The sequence below is a fragment of the Homo sapiens genome, chromosome 6 (assembly GCF_000001405.40).
Source record: "Homo sapiens chromosome 6, GRCh38.p14 Primary Assembly".
NCBI lineage: Eukaryota > Metazoa > Chordata > Mammalia > Primates > Hominidae > Homo > Homo sapiens.
Window position 1 is genome coordinate 54,024,328 of NC_000006.12, and position 24,273 is coordinate 54,048,600.

Consider the following 24,273-nt stretch of genomic DNA (forward strand, 5'->3'; position numbering starts at 1 on the left):
TCATAGCTTCATTAATACAAATAAAATTAATTACTTTCTAAGAAGAAATCTGTTAATAAACAAAAAACATGAGATTCGTGCTTGGTTCTAATTCCTCATATCATTATCTGATGACAGGTCTGGGTGTTGTTGGTGAGTGTCTTCAGAGATGCAACCTAGTGCCTATTGGATGACAATGTACTCAGAAAAAACAAAACAGACTTTCAAATCAGTATACATCACTAGACACTTATTTTGAATAAGACAGAGTACTAAGGGCTGCAGTGGGAACATACATAATAAAGTCCTAGCCCTCAAGGCAATTATTACGCTTTGATTATTTTTAAGTACATTATGATATAATAATGATAGGTTTTAGCCGCTCAGAAACATTCTAAGTGTACAAACCATTGACACCTCAGTTTCTCACATGGACCTGTGGTAGCAAGTCTATAATTATTCTTCAGAATGTCTTAACAATGGGAATGATTGTAAAGCATTTTATGCTGTAACATGGTAACATGATTATTATTATTATTATTATTTTTGGAGATGGAGTCTCACTCTGTCGCCCAGGCTGGAGTGTAGTGGCATGATCTCGGCTCACTGCAACCTCTGCCTCCCGGGTTCAAGCAATTATCCTGCCTCAGTCTCCCGAGTAGCTGGGACCACAGGCACATGCTGCCATGCCCAGCTAATTTTTTTTTTTTTTTTTGTATTTTAGTAGAGACAGGGTTTCACTCTGTTGCCCAGGCTAGTCTCGAACTCCTGGGCTCAGGCACTCTGCCCGCCTCGGCCTCTCAAAGTGCTAGAATTACAGGCGTGAGCCGTTGCGCCCGGCCTGTAACATGTTTTATTCTGCCATAATATCTACTTATATATTTATTTCTCTTTCTAATTGTGTCTAACTAGAGTCATTGGTAACAGGCACTCACTCAGAAGGCCCTGACATGCCCCAAAACAAGTCATCTATTCTGCCAATGTTTCTGATGTGTTATCTAGATATTACTTTCCGTATGGCTTGAATGTTGCTTCTGATCTATATGTTATTCCTTACAAGGCAACTTCACATAATAAAATAAGTAATAAATGCAAATTAAATTTAATAAGTAGGAAATCTCTGGCGGTAAGGTACTGGATGTATGTATCTTTATACCACAATTGGTTGCATTCATTCTTAATAAACTAATTTTGGTGATGACCTAAATGAAGGAAAGAAAGATAAAAACATGCAAACGATGATATTTTATTTTTTTGGCATTACATCATTTATTTTGGAAACCTCCTTCCTTGTCTCTGCTACTCATAAGAGTAGCAATGACTCTTGCTGTGTTTTGGATTCAACTGATAAAGTTGCCTTAGATGTTCCTTTTGTCTGAGGGACAATTTTGATGGTAGAGGATGTGAGTGAGTTGCTTTGCCCCCATACGTTAACTCCCCTAAGCTGCCGGCTCATGTTTGATTTTATTGGTGACATTGTCATGGGCCATGGTAGGCACTTCAGCATCTTTAAGACTGCAGCTGCCCTCCCTAAGGTATTTGTGTTGCTTACTGTGCATTCTACGTCTCCACTTGGCACATCGCCCACAATGGCCCATTCATCATTGGTATATTTTAAATTTATTATCCACTTTTCTCCAGAGATAGCATCCAGAGTTGACATCTAAAATACCCTGTGGAAATAATTATTTTCATAAAACAGATGGGTGGTAGAGACCAAAATTTCATGTTAAGTTTCTCAGTAAGCATCCGTCAGCTGGAAGGCAACTGGAGGGAATTCGGAACCAGGATTCTCTGAGTTTCTGAACAGTGTGTCACTCCTGAATTTTTAGTAAAATTAATTAATTTTTCCCTTTCTTAGGGAGGTAAGACATTTCCGAGATGTCAATAAGAGGATTATATGGTTGATCTCTCTGCATCAGATATTAGAGATTTGATGATTAGGATAATGTTCTCCAAATAACTGAGACAACCCTTAAGCATTATGAGTAATTAAAAAATTCTGGTCTTACCCCAGGTGAAGTATAGTAGTAAATAGTAACCGTGAATCCTGATCATTTGGCAGACCAAAGTGAAAAACTAAGTAGTTGAAAAACTTAAATCTCTTTTGAATAAGAAATAATTCCATCTTAATTTCTTTCTGGCCTCTTCTCCTTTGAGCCAATAACAAAAATTTAAAAATTGCAAAAGAATCTATAGCAAGAAATTTTAAAAAGAGAGAGGAAAGGAAATATGCTATGATAGTGGTGGACCATGAGGATCATTGGGAAATTGCTAAGCAGTGAGAATTAAAGTCCTAATGTGCATAATGGCAAAATGAGGAGAGACTGGAAAAATGAAAAAGCGAGTGTGTACAGGTGTTTAATTCACATACCTATGAAAATCTAAATGAAGAACCTGTGTCTTCAGTGTGTGTGTGTGTGTGTGTGTGTGTGTTGATGGTGACAAGGATTCTTATTCCAAAGAGGTTTTCTATCTCTCCCTAAGTGCCAACTAGTATGGTGAGGAGCATGTTAGATCTGATTCCAGGAGACTGGTAGGTAATACAGTTAAAGTTGTGCTTGTATGGCTTTGACAAATCACTTAACCTTTGGCTTCTTTATCTACAAAGTGAAAGGTTGGATTGGATTTGAAAATATTGCTATGCTCTTCATTATTTTATACATCTATCAAAAGTGCTCTCTGGCTGTGGATTTATTAAATTCTTTCCATACCAAATGATGCCTATTTATTCAAACATTAGGAATCTTGAAATAGTTTCTATTTTTATATTATCACTGATCAAATGTAAAACAGAAGTCCTTGTTATTAGATGAAACCTTCCTTTTAGAATAGAAAGTTCACAGTTCAGTACTGATCAATTAAATTGCATAGTTTTCTATGTTTTCACTGAGAAATAACAAAGATTCAGGAATTGGATCATGGGTAAATATTGTGAAATAGATGAAAAAAGTAGCATGTAAGTGCCTTAATGTTTGTATTGAAATGCCCAAAATAAAGCATTATATTTTCTCACACTTAACCTAAAATAAAGTGGATGCTATGTTTTTATTTGGAATAAAAAAAATACACACACACACACACACACACACACACACACACACACACACACACATATATACATAAAATCTGTGTGTTAAATGTTATTTTAAAAATGGTTTCTTTTATTCATTCTCTTTCTGTCATTCCTACCACTCCCTGCAACGTACCTGACACAGATATCTTAGTTCCTTTGCAACCTTAATTTTAGCCCCTCTGCATCACTGGTGGTTGAGGAAAAAGTGGACGCACAAGTATTGCCAAACTCTAGCCACCATTTTCATTTTCTTTCTTACATTAAGGAAAATGAGGGCTGTATCTATTGGAACCCAGGGAGGGGAGCTGAGAGTTGAAAAGTGAAACTGATAAGGATCCAGATTTCTACTTTATGGTTCAAATCAAGTTCTCGAAGCCATCCAGCCCTTTGAAAACCACTGCTAATTAAAGCAGTGTCTGCTGATAATGTAAGTCTGAGACTCACTGTTTGAATGGATCTTTTGATATAGCTCTGTGTGATGGCGAATAACAGAAAGGAGATAGATGGATTGCAGGCTTTAACCGAGCTGTGCTTTCACAGTGACATATATAGCATACTGTACGTGTGGCGAAATATTTTCTAGGTTCTCATTGTGAGAATTACAATTATATATCTAGTTGTTCTGTCTCAAGTACAGCTCCCCTAAGGGAATGACAAATAGACTGTGGTATTAGTGATGGAATTGTATTAGAGAATCATTTGCTTTATTTTGCTACATGACCTTCATGAAAATAAGGAGATGATTTTTAAAAAAATGGTTAGAGGATGTTTGTAGTTCAATTGCTGGTCTTTTGTTATTATTTATAACCTAAAAATTTCTCAAGGGTCCTTTTATTAATTTTCTTCTCAGTTAATGGGTATTTTCTTGCATGGGTAGCTTCTGGGAAGACACCCCCCTCCACCCCCAGCTTGGTCTTCAAAATAGGCCTAGTACCCTTATAGCTGTCAGAGCGTAGCAATTTAGAGACCACCTCGTGATTTTAAATACCAACTTGATGACATTCGTCTTAGGAGCAGTTGAGAGAGCTCATAGGATTGCTTTCCTGAACCTGTTATAATTTCTCTGGGGATATCATGTCATAGTGGGAGGCTGAAGGAAGAAAATGTTAGCATAAATTAATACACTTATCACAGAGAGTGGGGCATTAACTTAGAATGTGAAGGAAATATATGGGAAATAAAACCTTTTTTCATCCCTATTTTGTTTTTCCACTTGAACTCAGCTTTCAGTTTTGGAATTCTGGCATGTTTTGTTGTGCCACTTGCTTCTGCTTATTCATTCATTCAGCCCAGCAATCCTTTGCCTACAGCTTGTAGACCTCCTGCCTGCTGGTCCATCTTTGCATGGGGTGGGGAAGGAAAAGAAAGAGCTGGTTTTAGAGGCTTTCAATGAATCTCCTTCTTTTCAGCCCTTCTTTACAGTCATGCCTTTGCCTTTGTGGAATTTGTCTTCCTTGACTCTGGCACCCTCCAGGGTTTGCAAAGTCATTTATACTAAGGTCTCTTCTTGGCAGCTCATCTTCATCTGGCTGTCTACCTCTATCTCCTTTTCATCTTCCAGAAATTTGCAATGTGCTTTTTCACACTGATTTTTCTCTTTGCCAGGTCTCTTATTTTTGTGGGTTTATGGTTTAACATTCCTTTACTCTCATTTTAATAGTGTCCAGAGAAGAATATAAAATGAACATGTGTGTTCCATTAGTGATCTTGACCCAGAAGCCCCTCAATTTATTTTAAAAGCTTGCTCTCAATGCTGTATTTGTGTTCGAAAATCATTTCAATAAATGATGGGTGCTATGGAACATCTTTATTCTTTTTTTGAGGGATGCTACGGTCTGGATGTGTCCTCCAACATTCAGATGTTGGAATTTAATAATCAACTGATAGTATGAAGAGGTGGGGCTTTTAAGAGGTGATGAAGCTGTGAGGTTGGAGTCCTAGTGGATGAGAGTAGTGCCCTTCTAGCAGGGCTTGAGGGAATGAGTTCATTCTCTTCTGCTCTTCTGCCATGTGAGGACACAGTGTTCCTCCCTTTTTTGCCTTCTGTCCCTTCCACCATGTGAGGATGCCTAGAAGACACCATCAATGAGAAATGAGCCTTTACCAGACACAGAACCTGCTGGCACCCTGATCTTGGGCTTCCCGGAGTATATTTCTGTTCTTCATAAATTATCCAGTCTCAGATATTTTGTTATAGCGGCAAAAATGGACCAAGACTAAAGATTCAAATACATTTTAAACCCAGCAACTTTTTTTTTCTGTTCAGGGTATCATACTATATACTATGTGAAATCATTGCATAAGTTATGTTATTTGGCATGCCAGAAATTTTGATCATATAACCAAAATTATGTCATTTCTAAAAGCTTGAAAATTTCAGCTTGTATAACGGGTTATAATCTTTACTCTTTTTCTTAGCATAAGAAAATCATTTGCCATAGTGGTTTTGGTGGTTAAATGCTGGGATGCGGTGGTAAGAATCAAATCTGGGCTCCTATGTGCTTAACCTAAATGAGCCACCATTTTCTCATGTGTATAATGGGCTATGACTTGCCTCACAGAGCTGTCAGATGAACTAAATGTAAGCACTCAATAAGTGGTATGGTAGCCATTAGAGAAATGAGAATCACAGTGGTATACAAATTACTTCTTGTGTCTGGAGAAACCCTGGACTTGTGATTGGGGATTGTTTTCTTCAGAAAAAAACCACATATGATTTCAAGCAACTATCAGACCAGAGACAATGCTTACTTTCCCACTAGGAAGTGTGCCTTGAAAATTTTATTAACTTTTAATTGTATTTTTGTTCTGTGAAGTGACAAAGTTTCAAAAACAAGAATGTTTAAAAGATCCTGCCTATTCTGAAAGATGTTATGTCCTAATCTCAGTGGAGAATAATTATATTACAAGAATGCAAGCATTACATAGAGGTAAAAATAAATGCTAAATTGTGAGGTACAAATAATTAGGACTATACCTAATATGTGCTTCATAGAATTAATTTAAAAATCCCCAAAGCTGCTAGATTTGTCAAGTTGGGACATTTGTAGGAGGTAAAGAATATAGGTAAGAAGAAGGAGAGTTAGGGAAGGAGTCCTGGTACATGCGTGTGTGCACAGAATGTTCAAAAGAAGAACATAAGTACACGATTGACAGCACAATCTGATTCAATACATTTTAAACACAGCAACTATTTTTTTTTTTCTGTTCAGGGTATCATACTATATGCCTCTTACCTTCATCTGGCATTTTTATTCCTTGCACGTAAGATATTTTCCTAGGAAAGCAACACTTCCAATAATTAATTAATTTTTTTACTTAAGAATTTTTCTAAAAAATATGCAGTCTCATCTGCAGACAGGACTATAAATTGCTACCATTTTTCTGGAGTATAATATGTATGGAGACCTTAATTATTTACCTACCTACAGGCCAGATAATTTTACTCCAGACATTTATATGAAGCAAAGAAATATACAAATATTTAGTTTAATGATGTTTATTGCAATATTGTTTATAAAAGTAAAAATAGTGGACACAGTAGGGGAATTAGTTACTAATCTATGATAACATGATACAAGGAAATGTAAAGGCCTTGGTATAGTGGACAGTATTTTCCTTTTTTCCACAAAAGTACAGATGTTATGCAAAGTGGAATGCTTCTTTTATAGATCATGCATGTTGACAGAACATTAACATGTAAATCAGTGAATATATTTGTGCAGCCCTATTAGCCAAACCCTAGAATCTTAACAACCCAAATAAAGGCAACAATATTATGGGTTAAACTGTATTTTTCAGTTTTACTAAGATTTCAAATAGCTCAGAGTAATTTTTTTTTGTAAAAAAATTGTACTGTAACCTCACATTTTTATTATCTTGCTGACTCAATGAGATTGTGTCAGAGAGGAATGCAAGGCCATCTGATTTTGGTGCTTTACTCCTTATCCGAGAGCAGATTTATGGAAGCCTTGAGTGCTTACATCCTTCTGCCTGTACCACCTTGGCTACCAGCAGACTGCAGGCTCCTCAAGGTCAGGAACTCTATGTTCTTGGCACCTTGTAAGCCTGATACGTGGAAAGTGGTACTCAAACCTTGTTTGAACTGTCTAGGATGGGTTTTACATGTCTGAGTGTGTGTGCGTGTGTGTGCACATGTGTGTGCATGCGCTTTATCCGATTTGTTATGACGGGGATCCCAAGCTAAGTCTAAATTAAATTTACCTTGATATTCAGCCACATCTGGAGAGCTGGTGGTTTGGCACTTTCACAGACCGTTTTCAAGAGACAATGAAGAGCTTTTCAGGAAGGGACTTGTCCTGAGGGAAGAGACAGATGAGATATGGTTTTTGTTCATGGAAAATGAGAGACCCTGAGCATGGCCGACTGCCTCCACCTTCTGATTGACCTCCAACTTAACCTCATCAGTCATGCTGAGTAAAAAATTTTCCATGAAATCTTTGTGTGATATACAAAGCACTAAATGCTGGCATGCTTGTTGCTGGCAGATTACCCCCTATAGTGTGGCCATCAGTAGGCAGCTATGGCATTGGTGGCAGAATTGCAGATTTTGTCATTGGAAAAGCATCACCAGAGTGTGACAGGAGGAGAATGGCAGTCTCCCGTCACTTAGCCAAAGTGCTAGTTCACAGAGCAATGACAGAATTATGGAGACTATGGAACTTTCTGAGAGTAGGTGAAAGTGGAACAGGAGAGTTCTATTTTTTTCATGCTATGTTTGATGATTAATTTGGCCTCATTTTTTGCCTCAAGAATAACCCAGTAAAACTCAATGAGAGGTTATATTTACAATTCCCTTGTGAAAATTAAGTAATATAAAAATGGTTTTTAGTATCTATTAGATATTTTCAGATATCATGAAATTCTTTACCACTGGCAGTTATGATTACAGAGATACTTATGAAATCAATAAAAATTGGGTTATCCTTTGAAAATTTTCATATTTATTTTGAAGGAATTTATATTTTGCTTACATTTTTATTCTTATTCTACCAAAATCCTGTGCTGAGGGGTAGCTTCTCCTCCATCACAGCCTGCAATAACAACCATACACAATAATGATGAGGTAGGGCAGAGTACTTCTGAATATCTGGAACTTTTGTGCATTTGGTTTGGGTTTGTTTTTATAATACTCAAGAAGTAAAAGGGATTTTATTTATTTTATTTTTTTGAGACAGTCTTACTCTGTCGCCCAGGCTGGAGTGCAGTGGTGCAATTTTGGCCCACTGCAACCCCTGCCTCTTGGGTTTAAGAGATCCTCCTGCCTCAGCCTCCTGAGTAGCTGGGACTAGAGGTGTGCACCATCATGCCTGGCCAATTTTTGTATTTTTAGTAGAGACAGGGTTTTGCCATGTTGGCTAGGCTGGTCTTCAACTCCTGGCCTCAAGTGATTTACCCACCTTGGCCTCCCAAAGAGGGATCATTTTTTGGTTTCCCATGTGTTTAAAGTTGTAGGTACAATTTTAGATTGGTATCTATCAATAATTGTGAGAAGGAATAAGCTGTCTGTCATTCTGAAAAGAAGCATGCTGCCATTTTTCTTATTACTCAGATTGTATTGATGTCTTACCATTAATAATAGGACAACTATTGATGTTTTGATCCAGTAGTCTAAATATTTCAGGACATTACTTTTACAAAACATCTTTAATTAAATTTTTTAATGTAACATCAGAATTGAAAACCAAATCCCTGTTGATTGATAGTTTAAGATAAACTGAGTAATCTTGCCTGATGATGATCATGATATAGATAATAGGCAGAACACGTTCCATGTTCTAAGAAATAGGTAAAGTACTTTGCGATCATCACCACGAATCTTGGAGGTAGTTGCTATTTTCCCATTTTGCAGTTGGAGGAACTAATTTTTTTTTTTTTTTTTGAGATGGAGTCTCGCTCTGTTGCCCAGGTTGGAGTGCAATGGCGCAGTCTCAGCTCACTGCAACCTCCGCCTCCCGGGTTCAAGTGATTCTCTTGCCTCAGCCTCCAGAGTAGCTGGGAATACAGGCGTGTGCCATCTTGCTTGGCTAATTTTTGTATTTTTAGTAGAGACAGGATTTCACAATGTTGGACAGGCTGGTCTTGAACTCCTGGCTTCGTAATCCACCCGCCTTGGTCTCCTAAAGTGCTGGGATTACAGGTGTGAGCCACCACGCCCGGGTGGAACTAAGTCTTAAGTCAGTGGCCCAGGACACATAGCAAGCCAGTGGAAGAGTTGGCCTCAGGACAGCCTGAATCCAGGTCTACTCTCCTAACCCTCACCTATATCCCTCTCATGACAGGCCCAGAACCTCAGCTCCCCATCACCCCTTTATGATGATTTCCTATTCTCCTCAGAGGAAATACATACTTTGTATTTACCCCAATGTGTAATAAACAAATAGTCAAAGATGACATTTACCTCATGAGGTCATTATTATTCTTCATTCTTGAAAAATTGGACTAATGTTTAGGCATCATGGAATGGAATAAAATCTTACTACTATAGACTCTAAGTAAGTAATAGTACTTTAACATTCTTCTAAATTTACCTAACATCTTGTTAATAACATTACTTAACAACTTGTTAAAACAATTTCTCTTTAAAGAGGGAAATATATTTGGATTACACGTTAAAATGTCACTAGAAATGTAATTAGATAGGTGATAACTTTTATATCACATATACAAAGCTGTCTTGCCAAAATTTTGACTACTTTTTGGGGACCTACTTTGTTGGTCAACTATTATTGTCTTGTCTTGATTGCAAACGAAAAACGAACCAAAAAGAAAATATCTAACATAATTTCTCTTCAATTAATGTTAAATAATTCTTTCAGATTTCTATGTTAGTGTGTAAACCTAGGATACATGAAACCCCTGATAATCACTAATCTGCTCTTCATCTATATTCATCAACAATGTCATTAGCAAATATAATTATATTATTTCACTAACACTAAATAAATGAAATTTTGCAGTGCAGTCATGTGCTGTATGATGATGTTTTGGTCAATGATGAACTGCATATATGATGGTGGTCATATAAGATTATAATGGAGCTGACAAATTCCTGTTGCCTAGTGGCATCTTAATGATCCTGCTCCTCCTGCGTAGGCCTAAGCTAATGTGTGTGTTTTTCACTTAGTTTATAATAAAAGCATTTAAAAAGTTAAAAAACATTAAAAATAGAAAAAAGCTTATAGACTAAGGATAAGAAGAAAATACTTTTTGTATAGCTGTACAATGTATCTGTTTTAAGCTAAGTATTATTACAAAAGTCAAAAAGTTAAAAAAATGTAAAAAGTACATAAAGTAAAAAAATTAAAGTAAGCTAAGATTAATTTATTATTGAAGAAAAAATATTTTTATGTATTTAGTGTAGCTTAAGTGCACAGTGTTTATAAAGTCTACAGTAGTGTAGAGTAATGTCCTAGGCCATCATCCTCATTCTTCACTCACTCACTGACCCACCCAGAGCAACTTCCAGTCCGGTAAGCTCTATTCATGGTAAATGCCCTATACAGGTGTGCCATTTTTTATCTTTTATACTATATTTTTACTGTACCTTTTCTATGTTTAGATACACAAATATATACCATTGTGTTACAGTTGCCTATAGTATTCAGTACAGTTACATGTTGTACAGGTTTGTAGCCTAGGAGAAACAGTCTATACCATATAGCCCAGATATGGCCGTATACTATAACCTACTGCTAGGTGTGGTAGATTATACCATCTCAGTTTGTGTAAGTTTACTCCATGAGGTTTACACAATGACAAAATTGCCAAGGACTCATTTCTTAGAATGAATCTCTGTCATTAAGCGATGCCTGACTGTATACAAGCATTTTTGGCTTTTTTTGACTTAGCATCACTTCCTTAAAGTTAGTCCAAGTTGTGAGGATCCACAGTTTCTTTTTGTTTCTGAGTATTATTCCATGTTATAGCTCCAGCTATATCACAGTTTAATGATTTGTCCAGTGAGGAATATTTGTGTGGTTTCCAATGTTTAGCTATTATAAATAAAGCTGGCACAAATATTTGTGTATATATTTCTGTGTAAAAATGGGTTTTCATTTCTCTGGGATAAATGCTAAAAGTGTAACTGCTGAGACATATGGTAAGTCCATTTTTTTTTAGTTTTAAAGGGAATTGTCAAATTATTTTTCTGAGTAGCTGTACCATTTTACATTCCTATCAGCAATGTATGAGTGTCACAGTTTCTCTATGTCCTCACCAGCATTTGGTATTATTATTTTTTGTTTTAGCTATTTTAATAGGTGTGTGGTGGTATCTTATCATGGTTTTAATTTATATTCCCTTGATTGTTAGGGTGTTGAACATCTTTTCATGTACTTATTTGCCATATGTATATCTTTTTTGGTGAAGTGTCTGTTCAGATCTTTTGCCTGGTTTTTAATTGGGGTTTTTGTTTTCTTCTTGTTAAGTTTTAAAAGTTTTTTAAAAAATATATTCTAGATGCATGTTCTTTGTTGGATATGTGGTTCGCAAATATTTTCTACCAGGTTGTAGCATGTCTTTCATCCTCTTAACAGAATATTTTGCAGAGCAAAGATTTTAATTTCTCAGAGGTCCAGTTTACCATTTTTTTTCTTTTACAGATCATGCTTTTGGTATCAAGTATAAGAACTCTTCACTGAGTCCTAGGTCTTGAAGATATTCTCCTAATTTTTAAAGCTTTATTGCTTGTCATTGTATATTTAAGTCTATGATCCAGAATCCTCATCTATGAAATGAAGATAATAATACTACCCATGTCAAAGGGTTATTATTAGAAATAACATGTGCAAAAGTCTTGACAGTTTATTTTCCTGTGATTTTAGTTAGTCACCACTGTTTTTTTTTTTTTTTTTAAATCTCCTTAAGCTCATAAGCAACTTCAGCAAAGTCTCAGGATACAAAATCAATGTGCAAAAATCACAAGCATTCCTATACACCAATAACAGACAAATAGAGAGCCAAATCATGAGTGAACTCCCAGTCACCAGTGTATTAATGGGAAAAATATTGGGCTAATTGACTTGTATTTGTAGAGTAGTCTAAGCTGCTGTTATAAGTTTACCCAAATATATTGATAACTTAGCAGAAAACTATTGTTCTTTCACACAATAGCTCTGGAATGGCTGTTCCCAAAAAGATCAGCAATAATGAGTGTTAATGAGAATCAAAAAAGACCAACGATAAGTGTTGTAGACAATGTGGCAAAAGGAAACTTTTGTACATTTCTGGTGGGAATATGAATTGGTACAATCAATATGAAAAACAATATGGAGGTTCCTAAAAAAATGAAAAATAGAACTACTATATGACCCAGCAATCCCACTTCTGGGTATATATCCAAAGGAAATGAAATCAGTAGGTCAAAGAGATACCTGCATTCCATGTTCATTGTGACATTATTCACAATAGCCAAGATATGGAAGGTTCCAGGCTGGCTGTGGCATGGGAAATGAGAGAAGTTGGGTCTCTGATATGTTTTTCTGAGTAACTACCAAGTGGAAGTTAATACTTCATAACTGGGGTGTTGGGATTAGGGGAGAAACACATATACCTTCTTGGGAACTTGTGGACAATGGCAGGACTTAAAAATATTCTTGCAGTATTACCCTTTGAGAAATACAGTAGATGTTTGTGATATTTATGAATCTTGTCCTTGGTCCACACATGGGACTATGACTAGTCAGAGTTTGGGCAGTCAGAAGGGGTCTCTAACCATTTGTATTGCTTTTTTACATGTCGTGCTGATTTTATCTTCTTTGGTGGATACTTCTATGTAAACTCTGTGAAGGATTGGTGACAATGCTTACAGTGTCTCTACAACCCTAAGAAGACAGGGGTACATCGTACAGCTGCAGCTCTGCATGCATCAATTCACATATTTGGTATCTGAACTCTTGCTAATCTTCTATGGCTTTCCTGGACTAACTCTGTAATCCAGCACAATCAAATAAGTCCATATATGGGATTGCTTCTCAAAGGATGTTTATAAGACACCAAAACTGAGTAGATGCTTGTGTGTCAGTGTGTATGTGTGTTAGTGTGTGTGTGTGATAGAGAGGGAGAAAGAGAGAGAGAGACAGGGAGAGAGAATGAGATCTAAAGCCTGTGAAAGAGGCTTAATAGATGTCTCCAAACAGTAACACTGTTCTCCATCATGGTTTTCAGTAAAGGCATTGCTGTTGTGAAATGATGTCTAAGGGGAGGAGTAGTCTGCTAGTCTTTGGGAGGTGTTTGTAAATTTGCAGAAGTTTATCAGATTTGTTGAGAAAGCAAAGGTCAGCAGCCTAGGGTTACATTTTGACAGGAGAATGATTATTCTAGAAAAGAGATACATGAGTCCTCACAGGAGAGGATAGTGAGTAATGGTAAAAACAAAGTTACCAGTGCTGAGTGCTTAAGGCATCATATTGGATTCAAACAATTAATTCCAGTTCTGATGCCCTCCAGTTGTGGGGTTGTCTTTGGCAATTTCTCCTCAGTGAACCTGAAATTTGTTAGTGTATTGTAATCTCAGTATTGTTAATAATATCTACTGATGATATTTTTGTGATTTAATATGAGATTAAATAACAAAATCGTCTAGATCAATATATATGCAGTTCAGAAAATATTTATTCACACCTCACCTCACTCCTTAATGCACTCAGTGTTTTACCACGGGTAGGATCAGGTCCTAACATGTGGTATGAGTACCCATAAAAAGATCCTGAGTAAGGGGACATACTAGACTATTCAGTATGCCCTCTGATAACTAATCCATCAGTAGATATTTGTTCTTTGATATGACTTTGGCATAAATTAAGGTTGTTAGTTTCACAGTGAGGTTTCCCCTTATGTTTGATCAGAAGGCCTGAAACTTCTTGAAAAGAGATTTTTAAGACTGGGAAAGCAAATCTCAGAAGCACCTTGTTCATTCCTGAGGTTCTCTAGGAGGCTGATGTCAAAAATGGTTTGGATTAGTGTTTGTCTGTGACGAGGTTTTACTCACTCGAGTAAATGAGGAGAATAAGAACAATTGTAATTTCTTTAATAGAATAATTTATGTTTATTCAATTTATTAAAAACTCTGTTCTTTATAAGAATAATTGTAATTTCTTTACTAGAATAATTTATGTTTATTCAATTTATTAAAAGCTCTGTTCTTTTGAGATTATATCATTCCTCATTTTTTTGGCTTTAAGATTTTTTCTTTATATTTATGAAGTTTTGATGATTCCTTAAAAAACAATTACTGATCCTTGAAGTCCAAATGTCTAGAAAACCATTCTTTCTGACACTTTGCTCTCTGCTTTCAGATGTCCTTAAAAAGTCTCCTGAACTTTTGTTTTCATTACCAATCTCTAATTTCTTAGCATGTATTATATATCGCTTTCTTTTGTTTCTTTTTGGAATCTAATTTTCTTATCCAGCAAACAAATCAGTTTTTATTACATAAAATAACTCAAATTAAAATTGTTTTCTATTTTATCACATGTGTAAGTAACCACATTTACTTTTCATATAACGAAATTAGATTGAAAACTAGCAAAAATTTTGAGCACATTCTCGCCAAAGACATCATATAATTTAATAGACGTAGAGTTTACTATTGAGAAATTTTTCTCTGGTTGAACTGGGAGACACATAATCTCCACAGAAATCTATATAACCAATTTAAGTAACTTTTTAAGATTGCCATCCTTTTGATTTTTGAACAATAAAAGTTACACTAATGAAAGGTATGAGCAAAACTATACAAGATCTTTGGAAATTGGAATTTCTAGTAATTTTATGTCATGTTTTATAAAAAGTTTAAGTGATTTAAGTTTGACTTTCATCTTGGTTTCCTGGGTAATGTGCTAGAGAAAATGGAAATGTGTGATGACATTTTATGAACTTTAAATCATTCTTCTCTGAAAATCACTCTGGGAGTTGCCATTTAAAAACAAACACAAATAAAATAACTGAAGAGGAATAAGTATGTTGGATTAAAATGGGTGAATGCTACTGAAATGTATTAATGGTCAAGGCTGATCTCAAAGCCAGAACTCTCCTGTCTTTCAAAATGGAAAACACCATGCATCTTTGGCATAGTGCAAATGTGGGCAATTGTGTCTCTCAGATTTAAAGATGGAATGAATACACAGATCAGAAATTTTTGATATGGTGCTCATCTGTGAATCTGGTTTCAAATGAGCACATGAGAGCTAGCCTCATGTGTAAAACTGCACAATGTTGGTTTATTCTCTGACCTAAACAAGCAAGATATGAAAACTAAGAGCAGTGAAGTTTAAGTTTTCCCTAAGATCACTTAGTGTCTTTTGATTTTTTTAATCTGTAAAATGAAGTTGAAAAGAATAGAGGTAATGTAACATATAAAGCAAGCATCATCTATGTTGATTTCTTTGCATGTTTTCTGTGTTGTACTGAGTTGTAGGCTGAAATGTTCAGCCACGCTAAAATGTTAAACATTTTAGATCAATACCAAATAATAACTGCAGAATTCTCCACCTACAGAGAGCTAGAGAATTTAAAAATCAGAAAGTGTCTTCTCAGTAGACAGTGACTATGGCTGTGCAAACCCAATGCATTTGGCCTGAAAAAGGATTTAAGAGCACAGGTACTTGTTAACAGGACATATTTTTGTGTTGAACATTGTAGAATTATAGAGGTTGAGATATTGTCTCTCATCATTTTTGAGCACTTAATGTGCATCAGACTATTTACCTTCTTCATTAGTAATTCATTAATCTATTAAAATATCCTTTGAGCATCTACCATGTGTCAGATATTATTTTAGGTACTGAGGATACAGTAGATCACAGTCTTCATGGGACCAGCATTAAGGTGGTGGATGGTGAGAGGACTGATGATAACCCATTCAACAAATTAATAAACAAGGTAATTTCAGTTAACAATAAATAGAAAAAGAAAATAAAACAATGAAAGAGTAGAAATTTTTTGAGGTAAGAGAGTAAATGGTGACTGCTCAAGAGTCTTCAGAATGGCTAGTATTAAAAGTCAAAAATAACAGATGTTGGCAAGGCTACAGAAAAAAGGGAACACTTACACAGTGTTGATGGGAATGTAAATTAGTTCAACCACTGTGGAAAGCAGCTTGGAGATTTCTCCAAACTTAAAACAGAACTACCTTTTGACCCAGCAATCCCATTACTGGGTTTAAATGCAAAGGAAAATAGATTGCTCTACCAAAAAGACATATGCACTCATACATTCATCACAGCACTATTTCATAATAACAAATACATAGAATCAACCTAGGTGCCTATCAGTGGTGGATTAGAGAGAGCAAATGTAGTACATACATGCCATGGAATACTATGCAGCCATAAAAAAGATAGAAATCATGTCCTTTGCAGCAACATGGATGGAGCTGGAGGCCATTATCCTAATAGAATTAATGAAGAAACAGAAAACCAAATACTGCATGTTCTCACTCATAAGTGGGAAATAAAGAACAGGTACACATGGACATAAAGACAGGAATAATAAGCAGTGGGGACTACTAGAGGTGGGAGAGAGGAAGAAGGTCAAGGGCTGAAAAACTACCTGTTGTGTAATAAGCTCACTACGTGGGTGAGGGGATCAATCATACCCCAAACCTCAGCATCACAAAATGTACCCATGTAACAAACCTGCATATACACCACCTGAAGCTACGATGAAAGCTGAAATTAAAAACAAAAAATCTGTCATGGAGACAAAATATGAAATTTCAAACTGCCCTTTTTTAGTTATATCTTTCCCTACCCCCAACTCCTGGCAACCACTGATTTGTTCTCCAACACTATGGTTATATCTTTTTGGGAATGTTATAACAATATTGCTCCATGCCTCAATAGACTAATACTTTGTTTCTGTATTATTGAGTAGTATTGCATTGTATCGGTGTTCCACAGTTTGTTTAAACATTCACCCACTGAAGAACATTTAAATTGTTCATGATTTTTGGCAGTTAATAAATGAAGCTGTTATATAGTTTAGTAGGTATAGATTTTGTGTGAACATAAGCCTTCCATTTCCAGGGTAAATAACTAGGAGAGGACTTTCTGAGTCATATAAGTATATGATTAACTTTACAGAAAACTGCCAAACTGTTTTTCCAGGGTGGCCAAAATATTTTGTATTTCCACTAGCAAAGTGTGTGTGAGTTCCAGTTGGTCTACATCTCTACCCACACTTGATATTTTCAATATTTTTTATTATAGTCATCCTAATAGGCACGTGCTGGCATCTCATCATGGCTTGAACTTGCATCCCTCGTGGCCAATAATGTTGAGCATCTTTTCATGTGCAGACTTTCCATTTGTATATCATTGCTTAAGTACCTATTCAAGGATTTTTGTCATTGGCAAAGTATTTTGCTGTCGATTAGTTTAGGCCAGTGTTTTTTTCATCAGCCCACAATTGGCATTTTGGCTGGTACAATTCCTGATTATATAGGCTGTTCTATACCTTGTAGCTAATTTAGCTTCCCGGACCTCAGGCACCAAATGCTCATTATGACAACCAAAAATGTCCTCATATATGTTCACATTCCACTGGGAGGATGGTACCACTTAGTGAGAACCACTAGCTTAGAAGTTAGCATTTTTCCCTGTTGCTGGGATCAGGTCAATTTTTCCTAATTCATATAGGGTTTGTGGGGGTAGGGTGGATCCCTTAACAATATCAGGTTCTTCTACATAAGAAAGGAATAAATCTTAATCCAGAAACCAGCAGTTCCCCAAGAGTTTTACTCAACTTCTTTCCCAACAGCCTATGCAATTTTTGGCTTTTACTCACAGCCTTTCTGTGAATAAAACTGAAAAGACTCTCCCTAGATGTAATAAATGTTGTCTGGACTAAGTTTTCCTATTACCTAAAGCATCTCTTGGAATTTTCACTAGGACAGGTAGAAGAGGGATGTAGCAGTTCCTATCTGCTTTCTTCTTCTCCTGCTCTACATTCTCCTCCTCCTCATCCTCCTCTTCCTTCTCTCTCCCTCCACCTTTTTCTTCTTTGATTTTAATAGATATATTTACAGATTTATAACTGAGTTTTCAGCTTGTTTCCCTAGCAACTGATTTTAGGGTACCAAACATATTTTTTTAAAGTCATGATTCTATCACAACAGAAGGTATATCACCAGAAAGTCACAGTCTAGTTAGGATAAAATGTGAAATTATGTAAGAACATTTAGAAAACATCTGTGAAGCAGTATTCTGTGACATGAACTAAGCATGTTGAGGAAACAAAGGACAGAGGAGTTGAAGACAGAGTCTTAGAGTGAAAGGGCAGCAGATCTGGAGTCATAAGACTATCATCACCAGGGACAATATACCTAATCTCTCCCTCAGTTTCCACATGTGTAAATTAGGAATAAAGTTCCTCCTTAATAAAGCTAACATCAGTTGAGTAACGTATGTCACAATTTCTTGAAATTTGGAAATGTAGGAATCTATTCATTACTACTGCAACCACCATCATTATCATCATCGTCACTTAGTAATGAAATTTTTGCTGACATGGGAGGTAGGGAAGGAACCACGAGTAGTAAAGGAAACATAAATATAAAGGGAGATAAGTGACATCTGGGAAGATTTAGACACAGTTGTGTCTGTTTAGGATAAACTGTAGGCAAAAGTCTCAAGACTCTCAGAGATTTACTATTCATTCACTTTGAGATTTCTGCCAGCACAGCACCTCATGACACTCCTACAAACATCCTCGAACCTTCTTTAGACCCAGTGCTGCTCCCTTTTAGCAGTTAAGTCAGAGGAGTGGGAACAAGTTCTCCCAAAGAACTTGGGTATAGCCTGAGGCCGTCTTCTCCCATCTGGGACTTCTTAGATAATGTCTTCATTTTATATCAACAATGAGTGTGAATACTGTGCTTTATTCCATGATATGTTTCTATTTGTTTTAAAGTAAAAATGATGTTTTAAATGAATAAGAGCTGCTTACCTATTCCCCTTGTGGCTAGTTAAGATGTAATGAATTGAAATGATCCATCTTGAAAGGCTGACCTGAAACAAAGGAGCTAACACAGCATGTCATCTATGTAATTTCTCTTGGTGCTTGGATTTATCCTACATGTTTTCGTTCTTGCCACCCTCAACCCTCTCTAAAGAAAGCTGCTCCACCCACAGCCTGATGACTTTCGTGTTTTGTGCCAAGTATGTTCTCTACCCACTTCTGTGTAAAGCTAACTGAGCCAGAGGAATCAGCCTGCTCAGAATTAACACTGTGAATTATGTCTGGTACAGAGATAGGATGGGGCTTCTCTTATAATTAGGGAATAGGATGCCAATTAGTAACGGGAGTTGGCATGTGAAAGAAGTTGGGAGTGACATGGGGGAAACAAATCTTGATCCAGTAGTGGAAGCCCACAGTCTTAACTAATTTAAGGGAATGTCAGGTGACCAAAATGCTGAAAAGACATTACAGAAAATATGTGTCATGGTGACAGTGTGTGGAATGGATGAGAATGAGGAGAAATCAGGGAGCGAGATAGAGGTTTTCTCAGCTCAAAAGTGTGAGGTGAAGGTTGACTGGAGTGGGGTGTTGGCTGTGGAACCAAGACGAGTCAGATCTATAGGAAGCTGTGGTTTGCTACTCTATCTTAAAGTGTACCAGAAATGATGACTTTAGTGCTTCTTTATTCCTTTGCAAATAGAATACAACCCAAATTTCTCAGACTTTTTAAAAAGAACACTTATCATTTTGTTGCTGGTGCAGACTCAGTGATTCATAGCAAACACAGTAAACAGTCGGGTCATCTAAGTATTTAGTCCTTAAATTTGACAAATGTGCCAATTACCATGGTCTTTGGTTTCTGGTTCAAGAATTAAAAGCCATAATCAATTTTAAAAGCTGCCACAGTTCTTTAAGAGTGAATGGAAACAGAATGTCAAGCAGCTGTCCTCCACTGATGTGCCTTGAGTTGCCATCTCTAAGCATGATGGATTGGATGCTATTTGTGTGATGTGGCACCACATTCTTTTCCTGTATAAATCCGATTGCTGTGGCCCAAATGGGGCACTCTGTGTCCAAGATCTCTCAATACTACTTAAAACATACTCTTGAGGTTTTTGTCTTTTTGTTTTTGAAATAATGCAATGTTTAGGAAATATTTCAAGCACATAGGCCCTTGTGTATTGTTGTTCAAACACATAGGTAGGTCAAACACATGGCTGCTTTTGCCAATTTTTAGATATTTGAAAGCAATCTATTCCAGCCGTGGTAGACGTTTTTTTTTTTTTCTTCAACGTCACCTTATTTCAAAAGAAGACCTTAAGGTTTACTGTAAAACCATTACCTAATTTACTTCCACTATGAAGACTTTAGGTGGGTGTTAGGTCGGTGAAATTAATGCCACATATATTGGAAAGAAATAGCAAGGGCCGATCAATGGAAAGGACAGAGGGAACTAAGAGCTCTTGCTTGAAAATTTTATCTGAAGGTTTTTCTCTAGCACTGATGAAACATATCAGTTTGCTTTCAATTTGCAATAGGCAGAACCACAGTACAATTTCATATTGAAGTTTAATATTTGATATGTAGAAAATTCTAGATTTTTATTTAAAAATGTTATATTTACTTTAATCATAGTAATTTAAAACTTGGCTTCAAATTGTTGTTATGATATCTCTTCCTTCAGTAGAAATTCATGAGGAATGGGCCCGGCACGGTAGCTCATGCCTGAAATCCCAGCACTTAGGGAGGCCGAGGTGGGCAGTTCACTTGAGGTGAGGGGTTTGAGAACAGCCTGGCCAACATGACGAAACCTATCTCTACTAAAAATACAAAAATTACCCAGGCATGGTGGCGGGCACCTGTAATCCCAGCTACTCAGGAGGCTGAGGCAGGATAATCACTTGAACCCGGGAGGTGAAGATTGCAGTGAGCCGAAATCCGCCATTGCCCTCCAGCCTGGGCGGCAGAGTGAGACTCCTTTTCAAAAAAAAAAAAAAATTCATGAGGAATGGTGATGCACCATGCATGATCAAATTTTGAAAGTTTTACCCTTCTCAATGAACATGGTAGTGGCAAAAATGTAAATTTGATTTTCTTGTGAGTCGTCGTGACTTTTATGATGCTGGTAGACTTGTCATGAATGTTAAGTGAATAACAGCATATTCAGCAGAGACCTTGATATGGTTTGGATTTGTGTCTCCTCTTGAATCTCATGTTGAATTTTAATCCCCAGTGTTGGAAGAGGGACCTGGTGGGAGGTGACTGGATCATGGGCGTGGATTTTCCCCTTGCTGTTCTTGTGATATTGAGTTCTCACGAGATCTAGTTGTCCAAAAATGTGTAGCACCTCCCACTTTACGCTCTTCCTACTTCTCTGGCCGTGCAAAACGTAACTCCTTCCTCTTCACCTTGTGCCATGATTGTAAGTTTCCTGAGGCCTCCCCAGCTGTTTCCTGTACAACCTGTGGAACTGTGAGCCAATTAAACATCTTTTCTTTATAAATTACCCAGTCTCAGGTAGTTATTTATAGCAGTGCAAGAACGAGAACTGTGAACCAATTTAACTTATTTTCTTTATAAATTTCAGTTTCAGGAGGTTTTTACAGCAGTGCGAGAATGGACTAATACAGACCTCTAGTTTTACATTTATTTAAGGTTAGTTGTTGGTACCAGCCTCTCTCTAGGTAAGATTATTCGTGGGGAAGATAATATTTTCATTCTCCCCTTCCTTTGATCAGCCCAGCCACTGGTGGCTATATTTCCCTGAGTTCCAGTGTCTTCAGAAACATGTATCTCTTTTCCCCCAAGAGTCCATTAAAATACCCTTTCCATAAATGTTGAATAACCTAACTTATATTAACTTTAAATTTGACCAATAAAGGCTATCCTTAAAGGGATGGACATTACTTTTTTTTTTTTTGGACTGTTATTTCTAATGATAAGAAAACTCATTTTTTATTTTTATAATTTAATACATTGTCATTATAGAATATATAGAAAATAAAGTTAAAAGAAAAATGTTCCCACAATTTCATCTCTCTAAGACTTCTTCTACTACTGTTGATATATATTCTTCATATAAAGAAATGGAACTATCCTGTGTGCAAGTTTCAAACTGTATCTTTTCTTAATGTATGATGGTATTTTCTACCTTTAAACATGCTAATAAGCCATATTTAATATCTCCATGGTTTTGTATTGCACAACTGTTCCCTACATCATTTAAATAATACACTATTATTTGACATTAAGACTGTGTTAATTATTTCACTATTATAAATTGTCAGAATTAACATTCTTTTGTTGAGTTCTTCAAATACTATCATGATCACAGAAGAATAAACCCTGGCTGTGATACCTCATTGCCAATGAGCCAGGGACAGAGAAATTTCTTGTCCCTTGAAATTGTATCTAGTCATTCAGAAATTTTTCTGCTTGCTGCTGAGGATAGTCTTGATTGTCAGACCTTGCAAATTAACTAAAATTGAGCTAATTTGGCACTCACTGAGGGAGAAAAGTAATAGCAAATGGCAGAAAGTTTGGAGGTGCTTTATATTAGGTTGAAAACAAAAAAGTAAATTATCTGACCTATATACAACCCAAATAACTCTAAATTTGGAAATACAGTAATGAAACAGAGTTCACTGCACTTGAGATTAGCTGCAGAGCCTTTCACATAAAAGTTATTCATGACCAAGATATTAATGATCCTCGAATGATTTCTTTGAAGCTGTAATTCTTGGTCAGCGTCAAAGTTACGTGGTAGATGGATCAGAAACTTTGTTTGAGGCAGGTGCTGGGAAATTGAACAAAAGACATATTCAGTGAATGGAAAAAAGATGGGTGTTACAGAAACAAAATTTGTGGGTTTTGACACTTGATTGGCTACTAAGAGAGAGAGGAAGATAGAGGGATGAGTGATACAAACCTGGAGGTAAGAGGATGATTCTCCCATTTGTTGTGGAGGAGCAAGTTGTATGGATATGGGACAAATTCTGTTGCAGGCACTTAGACTGAGCTTCTGCCAATTTAATTTATTCCCAGCAGGGAACTGGAAATGCAAAATTGGAGCTAGAACAGTAAGTGCATAAAATTAATAATTTTAACTAATAAAGAGAATAAGTACCGCTTTAGAAAAAGAATGGCTACATTTGAAGGTTGAAGCAAAAAACTATGATGGCAGAGAGTAAGCAGGCAGGGAAGTAGGAGAATGCAGAGTCAAGCGGAACCCAGGAAGAATGGAACTTTGGGGACAGAAGAGGATTGAGACCTGCTGACCTATCGACGTGATGTCACTGTTGAACTTCAACTAAGCAGTTCCGCATGACTGTGGGTGTAGAAGCCAGATAATAATGAAAACTAATATCAACAAGAAGAGGCTAGAATGTGTTAAGAGTTTACTCTGTGACAGTTACTGTGCTATGCACATAGATTGCATTAAATCATTTAATCCTTACAGCAATGGCCATGAGGCAGAGATTTTCATTGTCCCCCTTTTCAATAGTCTACAGAGATGAAATATTTTTTCCAAGATCATACAATGTACTATATGTAGGGCACAAACTCAGGACTGTGCTCTTAACTTCTCTGCTGGTTTAATTAGCTATACATGTTCCAAGGAATTATATAGTAAGTGGTTGATGAGAGAGGGGGAGCAGTGCATAGGACCCCTCTTTGAGGAAGCTTAGCCCTGTAGTAAAGAAGACCATGAGAGTGTCCTGAGAAGGGAGGTGGTACTGTAGGAGAGGTATTTCTAGATTTAGGCATTGAGAGAAGAGCTGTTCCCAATGGGATGGTGATGTCTGTCAGTAGGTGGCTGAAGTACAATGGAAATAAAAGCCATTTTTGCTGAAAAGATCAGGTTCTACTTTGAGGCTAGGGTTCTGGAAAGGTTATCAGCATTCATAGTAAAGGGATAGAGAAAGGAATGAGTCTCATGAGGAGTAAGATGCTGAAATCATTATGGAAAATGGGTGATGGTCCTGTAGCCAGGCAATGACAGATACAGGGCTGGGAAGATTCAGTGCTTGGGGAGAATGTGCATTTTGAGAGAGCAGAGGTTATTCAGAGATGGCAGAGAACAGTGATTGCAAAGGGTATTGGGGGTTGAGGGGTGTTTGGGCATGCACCCAGTTTACAGTGGGCATGTGGTCATGAAGGAGCATAACTGCAACTGGCTTCGATCTACTCTATTCGAAAGATGTTTATGGGAAACAAAGCCATTGAGGGAAGGGGCA

General features: G+C 36.7%; 1 protein-coding gene and 1 long non-coding RNA gene across 11 annotated transcripts in view; one reads left to right on the plus strand and one right to left on the minus strand.

Annotated features, from left to right (window-relative positions):
- MLIP (muscular LMNA interacting protein) overlaps positions 1–24,273 on the plus strand; it is a 247,311-nt gene that overhangs the window by 5,358 nt on the left and 217,680 nt on the right. The window lies entirely within an intron of this gene.
- MLIP-AS1 (MLIP antisense RNA 1) lies at positions 22,492–23,267 on the minus strand. The gene is made up of 2 exons (NR_046710.1): positions 22,965–23,267; positions 22,492–22,832 (listed from the first exon to the last, which is right to left on the minus strand). It is a non-coding gene; the product is annotated as an MLIP antisense RNA 1 (long non-coding RNA).